At 36.1% G+C, this 12,647-nt stretch overlaps 1 protein-coding gene across 14 annotated transcripts in view; it reads left to right on the forward strand.

Moving 5' to 3' along the window:
- BTRC (beta-transducin repeat containing E3 ubiquitin protein ligase) overlaps positions 1–12,647 on the forward strand; it is a 203,266-nt gene that overhangs the window by 95,266 nt on the left and 95,353 nt on the right. Inside the window, exons 1-2 of one of the 14 annotated variants that reach the window (XM_047425985.1) lie at positions 1,290–1,428; positions 4,188–4,243. The exons of 12 other annotated variants lie outside the window; for them this stretch is intronic. The gene's annotated coding sequence lies outside the window, so the exon portion shown is untranslated. Of the gene's footprint in view, positions 1–1,289; positions 1,429–4,187; positions 4,244–7,879; positions 8,151–12,647 lie in introns of those variants that run through there. One more of the 14 variants, XM_024448247.2, reaches the window with a different exon arrangement.

A 12,647-nucleotide genomic window follows, 5' to 3' on the forward strand; every position in this document is an offset into this window, starting at 1 on the left:
AAAAAAAATTCATCAGAGAGAAAGAATTTTGTCATACGTCCTAAGGGTTCTATAGTTCTCAGTCCTATTTTGATAAAAAAACTACTTAAGAAAATCTACAGAGGTCGAGTTACAAAAATAACCAGATGTCCTTATTAGTGGAAGCAAATGTTTGCCTCTTAATTTACACAAAACTATATGCAGAGGATCTCTGGATGAAATATTTTTGTAAATATGGCAGCAAAGAAAATCATGGCACAAAAAAATCTGTCCAAAACACATAATCGTGAAGGTAATGTCTTAAAGAGGAAAGCAGTTTTTTAAAAGATTCCTATAGATTTAAAGGTAAAAGGTAAGTTAAGCTAGTTATATTTTGGTTTACATGATACGTATTCTTGGCTTTTTATTATGTATGTCTTTCTATCTGAAATCCCCCTGGTGAATTTTAATTCATTTTGCCTTGCGTATTTCTCTACTTTGTACATTGTTGTTGCATTTTGAACAGTGTAAACGTATGTGTGGATTGCTTTTTTTTTTCCCTGAAAGAATGGTTGTCCTTTTAGTTCCATCACGAAAAACACAACCTACAGTGGTATAAGATGCCTGCTTTGCAAGCCTGTTTGGGATTTTAAAATATTAACCCACATTTTAATAAGTAGATGTAGTTTTGTAATTGCATTCGTACATTAAGCAGGATAAAAATGTAAAAAAAAAAAACTACTTGAAAGGGTAAGGTAGGAAGTGTTTTTTTTTGTTTGTTTTTAAATTAAGGCTTTAGAGCCAAAAAAAAAAACCTGTAAAGTTTAAATGGACTATTACTTCTGATGTGGAGCATATTAGCATAATTACAAACTCTTTTATATACTCATAGTCATTGCTAAGTTGATGTTCAAACCTTTGATTAAGAAGTCACAAAGCTGACTGTGTTCAGACAGCTGTGTAATATCGCTCCTATTCACAAAACAGATAACTGTTTTAGCCCCCTCCCTTTTTTGGTCCCCATATTTATTGCTACAAATTTGTCTTTCTCCTATAGCTAGACTTTTAATTAATGGTGAAACATTAAAATGTTGTATTGTGATATTTTCGGTGACTTGAAAGTTAAGAGAAAGCAGCACTGCTCATTCATGCCCTTGCCTTGTCACTCCCTGGTGCAGTTCATCTCTTCTATCCTTCTTATCAGAGTATCTCAGTGCTTAGTTGAGCTTGTTTATCTTAAAAGAGCAGGAGGCAGGCTTTTAGGGAATAAGCTACATGTTCCAGTATAACAGGCACCAATGCTGTTTGACTTGAAAAACATTTGATCTCTTACATTAACAGCCCATGTCACTGTAATAGGTAGTACAGCCGAGTTGTTCAGTTTTCTATTATTTTAGCTTTGAAATAACTGTTAGTGCTGCCCCAAAATCTTCGTGTATAAAATTGTATATTGGCTGCCCCCCAGGACTCGTAAGTAAACAAGGTGATATGTGTGGCCAGAGGGGAGGGTATTTGTTGGCTTTGTTTTAGATAATAACTGATCCTATCTAAAGATGTTTTCTGTCTGATCCCTGATAGTGGGTGCTGCATGACGTTGTGTAAATTCGCAGACCTAGCAATATTTTAAGGCAGATTTCTGTTTGTTATTAATATATGTGCTCAGTAACTATTAATTATGAACTTTCATTTTTTTCTCTGATAATGAAACATTTAGTTTTTATGAAGCTTAATGTCAAAGATCCTGCACAATTTGCCTAAGTATAGCAGTTTGCACAGCAGTTTTTGAAAATGGGCAAGCAAGAATTTAAAGGGAATGTTTGTTAGACTTAAAATATTACTTTATTTAAAAATAATTCAGTTGTGGGTATAATTTCTGTGCCAGGAATAGTTTGACAGTTGTAATCAGGTAGCAGTATTAAAAGAACAGAAAACAAAATTCGTATAATCAGGTTGATGTTTTCTTCCTCTTTAAGAGCACTTCTCCTTTTAATAGTGGTAGAATGGCAGCAAATAATTTTAATCCTTCCTTTCTTCCTTCCTCTATTTTCAAGAATCTGATTTTTCTCATTCTTATTTTTTTCTGTTACAGCATTACCAGGCCACCCAGTTACTTTCTTAGAATTTAACCTAAATTAGATACATCAGCCAGAACAAGCATAATTGGTTGAAAGGCAGCCATCTATCTAGGGAGTTCTTCTAAATACTGAATGTGTCATGCGCTTTGACATAACATATCTGTAATCTCTGAATACAGAAAGCACTTTCTGTGTTAGCTGTAGGTGTTAAAGCAGTAGTGTGTTTTAAGAATGTGTGCTGTGCAAATTCTGGCTTGTGAGGTAATGACAAGTGTTTGCCTGCATAGACAATATATTTTTTCCCCCCTGAGGTCCCCACACACCTAGTTTCCCTCAAGCTCATCATCTCTGTCAGGTTAATCAATAGGCACCGTATGGCAGAGGGTCAGTAATCAGTGTCATCGTGCCTTTAAATCGTGTTGAAAATTTGCTTAAAGCCTGGGCCAATTAACATCGAGATGATGAATGGATGGGAAGATGGGAAGAGCCTGCCGCTCAGGGGCTTTGTGAGGAGGAGATGCTCAGCTGTTGAGCAGCAGACACCAGCGAATAAAATCAGCCATTCATGTGAGCTCAGTCCACCCACTCTTAATGATAATGTCAATCTAGCAAAATATATACACATTGGAGTTGTCACGAGTTCATAAATCAAAGGAGTTTGTCAAAGGCATTCAGATTAACGAGGCAGCAGCAATAACAAGTCAAATTTGCATAGAGAATTGCTCGAATCTCAGTAAATTATGATCCTGTTTTTCATTTGATTATTTGCTAATGTCTCAAGAGGGAGAATGATTATATTAGCATGCAAAATCTACTCCAGAAGTAGAAATCTGAGGTGTAGAAGACCAGTGCACTATGACAATTAATCAGTTTCTGCATACTAGCATAAATGCACAAGGCCCAGAAATGAACTTCTTTTTTATTATTATTTCTCTTTGCTACTGATCCAAATGGTTCAGCTTGACAGAGACTTTATATTGCTTTAACAGTGTTCTGAATTGTGCCTGCAGGCAAGACATAGTTATGCAGCTATAACCAACCTATCCATCTGCCAACCAGATTGGAATTCTCCTATCCAAGGCTTCCATTAACCCCCACTGACAGCTCCAAACAGGATTAAGAATTTGGAAGCATAAAAAATAGTTGTTCTTTGCAAATATACACAATCCCTCTGCATTTTGAGAAAGGATGCATCTGTAGTGTTATATGATTAGTGTCGGACAGTGTGGCGGGGAGAAAGCCTGCTTGGCAGTTTTTTGACTTCTGTCACAGGGAGTAAGGCAGTGCTAATGGAAGTCCTCTTTGGTTGTCCCAGAGAATGTTGTCCATTCTATCTAGTTGTTAGCACTGTGCTTGGAATTGGTATATTACTAGAAAAGAGCACTCCTTGAAAGCCTTAACTGGTGAATCTGTTGAGTTTAGCAGTATAGGGAGGCCTTGATGTGGTTGTGGTTTAATAGAGTATGTCAAATGATAAACATGCTGGAGAAGCAATGTGCATGAAAACATGCCAGAGAATATCTTAGGAGGACACTTTAGGTCCTCCCTAAAATGAGTCCTTGAATAGGATTTTCCGAACAGCTTCTGAACTTAAATGACCTAAGTTTTCCCCATTGTATCCTAAAAGGATTAATTAAAATTTGTTTAAACACACACACAGTGTTTTTTTTTAATGTCACCTTTCATACAAGAGTTTGAGTGATTTTGTCCATGTAGCTAAAATATCTGTTAACCTTGTAAAATAATAATTTCTGTTTTTGTAAATTGTAAATTTATATTTGGAAGCTAAATTAGCTCCAAGTCACATAATAAGTTAATGGGAAAAAGTATTAATCCAATTACTAATTTACCATTGAAGTTCACTATACTGTGTTTGCAATTAGTTACTAGAAATCGGTCTCAGGATTTTTTCCTTCAGGTGGGTTGTCATTCTATACGATGATGAGCAGATGATTTCATTTTTAAAATGTGTTCAAAATCAGTTATAATCCACCACAATTTACCTGCTTTGCTAAAATGATAGAATTATCCCAGTTACAGAGTCCTTCAAATCCTCCAATGGTAAATTAGTGAAGTATGTGGCATTGGTGTGAAATGTTCGCTTGTAGCTTTGGAGCTGGTTATTTTATTTATAACAGATGTCTCTTCAAACAGGTTCAGGCTCTGTTGCACCATCCAACCTTGAGCAAGATGCTTACTCAAAGATTATTGTAAGTCATTATGAGTGGCTTGACTTTTCATCACTGTGTAAATTAGTTTAATTTTTTATTTGATTATATAATCAACTCTTAATTATCCATTTTATCAGGAGTTGTGTGTTCAAATAGATAACTGAAAATAGTAAATAAGCCACTTACTAGGTCATGGGGAATATTGCCCCAGCTATGAACCTGCTGTGTGCTGCCATCAAAACATCTTTACTTCTTGAATTGGACAGTCAAAAATACAAACAGCCTCAAAGTTAGGAATGCTTTGGTTAAGGGTTGCCAAACTTTGTCTGTAAAGGGGCAGATAATAAACATTTGAGGCTTTGTGGGAGATAGGATCTTTCTTGTGGCCACTTACCTCTTCCGTTGTAGTGTGAAAGCAGCCACAGACAAATCGTAAATGGATGGGCATGGCTATGGGCCAGTTAAACTTTATTTGCAAAAATATGTGTCAGGCCAGAGCTTGTAAGTGCTGTTAACTGATCATACTGGCATTATAAGTAGTGGGACAGTAGGACTGCAGTTGGGCTGCCACTGAAGTTCCTCTGCTATTAAAAACAAAACAAAACAAAACTTTTTTTTAAGCTAGCTGGACAGTCTGGGTTTAGGGTTTCAATTATTCATTGAGCATCTGTTATCTGTATACTTACGTAATGTGTTAGTGGGTAGAGGGAGCTACAAAGACTTTTCCCAGTAATCTTTCAATCTTACTGGTTAGTCGAAAGTAACAGTGCAGACATTTATCTAATTAAGTGCCTGTTGTGTGGATCAAGATTAAAATTTAGTTAGGGAATTTCCAGTAGAGTAAGGTGGAGTAGTTTTATGGTTTCTTGGAGAAGATGACAGTTAAACCTCATTTTAAGAATGTGTAAGACTTGAATAGATGAGATAATCTTGTGTTTATAATTGTTGAGTGAACTAGACTGGAGTTAAGAATCCTTCCAGGCCAGACTCTGTGGCTCATGCCTGTAATCCCAGCACTTTGGGAAACGGAGGTGGGAGGATTGCTTGAGGCTGTGAGTTTGAGACCAGCTGGGTAATATAGTGAGAACCCCTGTATCTACAAAAAAACAGAAAAATTAGCCTGGTGTAGTGGCGTATACCTGTAGTCTTAGCTAGTAGGGAGCCTGAGGCAGGAGGATTACTTGAGCCCAGGAGTTGGAGGTTACAAGGAGCTATGATCATGTCATTACACTCCAGCCTGATGTGATAGAGCAAGACCCTGTCTTTAAAAAACAATCCTTTCAACCCCGAAATTTCAAGATCATATCACCTGTTGGTGAGACTATGAAGAAACTTGCTTAACTGGGGCAGAAAAGATGTGTTGTGGGAAATAACTTGGTGTAATATAGTAGGGAATTCTGGATGGTCCTGAAAACCAGGCCTAGAACTTCATATTTGATTTCATAGAAATAAAGAGCCACTAAAAATATTTTAGGGAAAGACCATTACGACAGTAGCAGTGTTAAGAAAGATTAACCTGGCAATAATATTCAATCCAAGAAACTTTTTTTTTTTTTTTCTTTGAGACAGGGTCTCACTCTGTCGCCCAGGCTAGAGCACAATGGCATGATTACACCCCAAACTCCTGGGCTTAAGCGATCCTCCCGCCTTAGCCTCCTGAGTAGCTAGGACGACAAGCATGTGCCACTATGCCCAGCTAATTTTTTTTTTTTTTTTTTATGTAGAGGTAGGGTCTTGCTATGTTACCCAGGCTGGTCTTGAACTCCTGGCCCCAAGCAATCCTCCTGTCTCTACCTCCCGACAAGAAAACATTTTAAAATTCACATTATATTCTCTAGCTTTGTGCTGAACCTCTGAAATATAAGATGAAACAGAAACTGGCCCTGCCTTGAAGGAATTTACAGTAGTGTGGGGTGGGAAGCATGTTCATGTAGAGATATAAAGAGATATAAAGAATTAAGTGCCAATTGGAAGTGAAGTTTTTCTTCGGAGTAATTAATTCTAACTGCAGGTTAGGCGTAAGGGGATAAAGGCTTCTCAGAGAAGGTATCATTTTAGCTGACTCTTGAATCAGGATTTTTAGTAGATAAAGAGATTGGGAAAGAAGCCTGTTACATGTTAAGGGACTAGAATTAACAAAAACACAGAGATGAAAGAGTGGTTTCCTTATTTTGGTGAATGATAAATAATGTCATGTAAATGGTACAGAGACTTTGATGAAGTGTTAAGTTGGCTGTCTTATGGATGCTGTACTAAGAAGTTTGGGTTTATCCTGTTATTGCCAAAAAGCTATAAAAGGCTTTTGAACAGGAAAGTAACCTTTTTAGAATGATGATTCTAATGGCCGGGCATGGTGGCTTACGCCTGTAATCCCAGGACTTTGGGAGGCCGAGGTGGGTGGATCACTTGAGGTTAGGAGTTCGAGGCTAGCCTGGCCAACATGGTGAAACTCTGTCTCTACTAAAAACACACACACACACACACACACACACACACACACAAAATTAGCTGGGCATGGTGGCGCATGCCTGTAATCCCAGCTACTCGGGAGGCTGAGGCAGGAGAATCACTTGAACCCAGGAGGCAGAAGTTGTAATGAGCCGAGGTCGCCACTGTCCTCCAGCCTGGGTGACAGAACGAGACTCTGTTTCAAAAAAAAAAAAAGAATGATGATTGCCACTCTAGTGTATAGAATATATCATTTGGATTTAGGCAAGGATGTCAATGTCAGAAGGCTGTCTCAATAGTAATAGCACTGGTAAGAGGTGTTGTGGGTCTGGACTAGAGTAGAAGCAGTGGAAATGCAAAAGTAGGGTCAGATGTATTAAAATAGATGATTCAAAGAAAAAGTTTATAGACTGAAAATTAGCTAGATATGTTCAAAGAAAAAAAAGGAATGAGTAAAAACTGACTCTGAGGATTTAAGTCTAGGATAAAAAGAAAAGTTGGGAGGAAAAGAGCTGACCTAGAAATGAGTGGAGATGGTAAAAGAGTGCTTTAAATTTAGATGTGTTGATTTTGAGACAGTTTAAGCTTATCACCTGAATACTTTTTTAATATAATTACTTTCTTTTTTATTCGCCCAGTTTGGTTGTGGAAACATTTTATCCAAAATGCATCCCTGAGGTCTAATGCAGGAGCTTTAGCAGTATTTCCTTTATTGACCTTTTCCTACCCAAATCTCTGTTACTGTATCTGCAGGTGTTACAGCCCAAATGCATCTAGTTTGGAGTTAAATTCAAAGTTGACAGGGAGACTTTCATTCTGCCCTTTCAATTCTAAGCTAGTAAGCACTGAGCTAAGAAATAAATATTTGAGTTAATATAAAAGGTAACAAGTTGTGCACTGGGCTAAGAAATAAATATTTGAGTTAATATAAAAGGTAACAAGTTGTGTAGAATCTTTTACAAAAATATTTTAATATACTATAGTCCCCACTTATTCATAGGGGGTATGTTCCCCAGTGGATGCCTAAACCACAGATAGTTCTGAACTCCATGTATACTATGTTTTTTCCTATGGACACATACCTATGATAAAGTTTAATTTATAAATTAGTCATAGTAAGAGATTAACAACAATAAGAATAAAATAGAACAGTTATAACTATACTGTAATAAAAGTTACATGAATATGCTCTCTCAAAATATCTTACTGTACTGTACTCACCCTTCTTATGATGATGTGAGACAGTAAAATGTCTATGTGATGAGATGAAGTGAGGTAAATGACCTAGGCATTGTGACACAGCATTAGGTTACTACTGACCCTTTGACAGCATGCTACCTGCTTTAGGTGATCCTGGATTATTGAGCCATGAAGATGTTGGTGGTGGGATGTCAGGAGCAGACAATGTCAATGACTCATGGTCAAGTAGCATGTACAGTGTGGATACACTGGACCAAGGGATAATTCACATCCTGGGCAGGACAGAGCTACCAGAAAGGTGCACAATTGAAAACTATTTCTAAAAATTTCCATTCAATATTTTAGGACCTCAGTTGACTGTAGTAACTGAAATTGCGTGAGTGAAACTGTGGATAAGGGAGGACTACTGTAATGCTATTCATAGACTATTATTACTCAAGGACTACAAACACATTCTGCAATTTATTTACTATAATGAAACTTTCCATCTGAGTATTGGGAATCTGTTGTTCTGAGCAGTCAAGTTTGCTTAGGGTTGGTTTAAAGTTAAGCAGTAGAATATAACGTTAATTACATTTGATGGAATTTTCCCCCTAAAATTTATTTTTCACTTAACTTTTCTCCCATTTCTTAACATTTTATTATGGATTTAATTAATTAATTTTTTATTTTGACATAACTTCAGATTTATAGACAAGTGAAAAGAATAGCACAAAGAATCTCCTTACACCCTTTCACATAGATTTACCTAATGTTAACATGTTACCATATTTGTATTATATCTGCTTATAAATACATATACACACGCACATACATCCATTTATGTATTATTTTTTCTGAACAATTTGAAAGTTACAGACGTAATGTTCCATCCCCCCTAAATGTTTCAGTGCGTGTTTCCAGAAAAACAAAGACATTTTAATAAAAATAATCACAGTACAAATTATCAAAACCAGGAAATTGAATGGATAAACAAAACTGTGGCACATCCATACAGTAGATAATACTACTTGGCAATAAAAGGAAAAGAAATACTAGTATTTACAACAACATGAGTAGATCTCAGATATTTTATGCTAAGTGATAAAAGCCAGATTCAAAGGTTACGTACGATATAATTCCATTTATATGACATTCTGAAAATGGCACAAATTATTGAGCCAACAAATCAGTGATTTTCAGTGGGGAGAGGGTTGACTATTAAGGAGAATTTCAAGAGAATTTTGGGAGTGGTGGAATTTTTCATTTTTTAATGGCGGTGTTATACAACTGTATGTTTTTGTCAAAACTTACAGAGCTGTATACCAAAAAGGGTAAATTTTTCTGTATGTAAATTTTAATGGTGGGGAAACAATCAGGAAATTAATATTGATACAGTGTTATTAGTTCACCTACAGAACTTACTAAAAAGTTTCCAATTGCCTCAACAGTGTGTGCTATACCTCTTTAGTTTCCTTTAATCTGAAACAATTCCTTAGTCTATTTCATGGCCTTGACATTTCTTAGGTACAAACTAGTAACTTTATGGAATGAAATACTCATTTTTGGGTTAGCCTGATGTTTTCTTATAAGTAGATTTAAGTTTTGTGGTTTTGACAAGGATACCTCACAAGTGATGTGCTGTTTTCAGTACATCATATTAAAAGGCACATAATCTTAAGGTGGCATCTGCTGGATTTCTCCACTATGAGGTTACTCTTTTTTCATTGTAACTATCAAGTATCTTATAGAAAAAATATTTTGAGATTATGTGACCATCCTGTTAACTTGTCAAACTTTCACTCACTTATTGTAGTTTTAAATTTTACTTAGGTTTTTGAGATGGTGTCTTGCTGTGATGCCCAGACTGCTCTCAAACTCCTGGACTCAGGCAGTCCCTCTGCCTCCACCTCCTGAGCAGCTGGGATTACACGCATATGCCAAAGTACTAGGCTCACTTGCTAATTTTAGCACCCAATGATGATTCTTCCTTATATTAATCACTTATCCTTAAATAGAATTTATTGGATATAATTTAGCCTGATGATCTAGGAAAATTATGCACATAGCTTATTGGGAATCCTCATAGATAAAGATGCAAGGAATAACTGTGTTGCTGAGCTTTCCTGGGTGATGTTGGACAGGCTTTGAGAACTGTTGAGGTGACTACTTAGGTATACATGGCTATTTCATCATTACCCCTTACCCTCAAGACTGTAGACCTAGTAATCTCATTCACTGGCATTCTGCTTCTACTCTTTAGTATTAGGAGGGTTCCTAATCCTTGTTCCTGATATCATGACTGTTTAATGTCCCTACCTCTATTTTTTTGTAACAACATTATAAGTTGGATTTTTTGTTTGATTTGATTTCTCATGATGGATGGCCCAGAGTAAAAGTGTTGGGTTAATCTGTATTAAAAGAACATACCAATGTTTATGGGTTTCCCCCATTTTTTGTTTAAGAGTTATTTTTAACAATACCATTTAAATATTCTTTGCCCTAGTGGGATAGAAAGGGGAAAGGAACTCCTAAGAAGCTCTGTGTTCTATGTTAGGTTAGTAACACCCTTTAAGCTCCCTTTGTGTTTTCATTCTTTAGACATTTTCATAATACCCACCCAGTGGTTATCCATCTAAATCTGATAAAATAGAGGGTCAGTAAAAAGAAAATTGTGAGTATGGGCTAGTCAATACTCAGGCTGTTAAGGTTGAGATGACTATTTTTCACTTTATAATTCAGTATAGAGGAGTTTGCCAGCAATTGTGTATCAGCCCAAGTACCTGTATAATAAAAATGTGATTTATAGTATCTTTGGTATGACAAACTTCCAGCAAAAAGTAATTAGGCTCCAAGTTATATGATAACATTTCAAAAAACATAATTAATTTTGAAATACAGGATCTTACACTGAATTAAACAGGTTTAGTTTATCTGATCTTTTTATTTATTTATTTAAAGGAGGAATTTCATGACCTGAAAGAGAGTTACTTGCAAATTCTAAGTTTATAATTGGATACTGGCTTAAGCTTCTATTATATAAGGCATTTAATTTTGGTATTTAAAACATTGATCTTTACATTTAAAAAAAAAAAGTTAAACATACAACTTGATGTTATGGGGTAAATAAATGTTGACCTTTCCCTTTCTTTGTTTGATACTCTTACATAGCATGTATTGCCAGTCGCCTCATTTGTCAAGCTTTGTAGTCATTAATTCAATTATATCCTTCCTCCATTTTTTGGTAGATGATCTCCATTCCTTTTTTTCCAAACAGGGAGGAAAAGAAGTTAGAACTCTGAAGTTCTTGAGTCTCTGTCCCTTTCTTTGTAATATAGCATGCTTTTTCTTTAATTTTAGGGACTTTTACAAGGGATCATCACAAATGTAAAATATCAAGTTAAACCTCATAAGATATTTCTGCCCAAAAGAAACACATTAGGGTACTGGCCTGTCAGGCTTACTAAAGGTGACACACAGGTGTCAGCCACAGAGGTGAAAGGGCCTCAGAATGACACAGTACGTTTTTTATCTCTCAGTATCTTTCAAAATGTAATATCTAATAGAAACCAAAAAAGTGAAATTTACATGTAGGTTTAGAACACAGTAATGATTGTATATTAATAATTTCATGCTTGTATGAAAATTTTCAGATAAACTCTCATGTTAAAAATAATTTCTGAACCTACAAATAAACTAACCCTCCTGTTAGAACGTTATGACTATATGTAATGTAAGGAATATATTAACTGTAAGTTTTTTGTTGTTGTTGTTTTGAGACGGAACCTTGCTCTGTCACTCAGGCTGGAGTGCAGTGGTGTGATCTCGGCTCACTGCAACCTCGGCCTCCTGGGTTCAGGCGATTCTCCTGCCTCAGACTCTCGAGTAGCTGGGATTACAGGCACCCACCACCACACTTGGCTAATTTTGTATTTTTAGTAGAGACACAGTTTCAGCATGTTGGCCAGGCTGGTCTCAAACTCCTGACCTCAGATGATCTGCCCGCCTTGGCCTCCCAAAGTGCTGGGATTACAAGTGTGAGCCACCGCACCTAGCACAACTGCAGGGTTTTAAATATTAATGTTATTAATGTTACTAATGTTGTTGCTGAAAATGGAACTCAAATAATATGTAATTTGGATTTTCTGTATTTTGCCTTGTAGATAGTGATTTACATATATTGACTAGCAGATTTTTAGTACTTATGAACTCATTTTCAGTTGGATTGTTGTTTTTTTCCCCCTCCTAAGTATATAAAAACCCCACTGACATTTTAGGGCCTCTAGCTGCTGTTTGAGGTGACAGTGCCAAGGAATGGACTCTAATCCTAAACTACTGAGTAAATGTTTTTTTAAGTCCTATGCTACTTTTATCAAAGAAAATAAAATCAAATCTGAGAAGAGGGGGAAGAGAAATAACTATTTTTAGGACCCAGACTTGGAGATCTGTGCCAACCAAACATCTACTATAATCGAGAGAAGGTAATAATCATGGTTTTAGTTGTCATCAGCTAAGTGTGGGCTGGAACTTTCTTGTATCCAGTGTCAACCTGTGTCAAAGTGCAAGCTAGAGATCTAATGAATATGATCTCCTACACAATGCTTAAAGATACATGAAATACTTCCCATCTAAATCCTTACATAATTTATTTATATACATGGGCATATGTTTTCTTTTACATATGTGTATATCTGTATGTATACAAATCTTCAAGTGAATAATTGTATAAATATATGTATGTTCTAACTTACAGAATTAGAAATGTAATTCAGTTTACTCCCAAAGGATAAGATTGAAGATAATGAGAACTGAATTA

Source organism: Homo sapiens, chromosome 10, assembly GCF_000001405.40.
Source record: "Homo sapiens chromosome 10, GRCh38.p14 Primary Assembly".
NCBI lineage: Eukaryota > Metazoa > Chordata > Mammalia > Primates > Hominidae > Homo > Homo sapiens.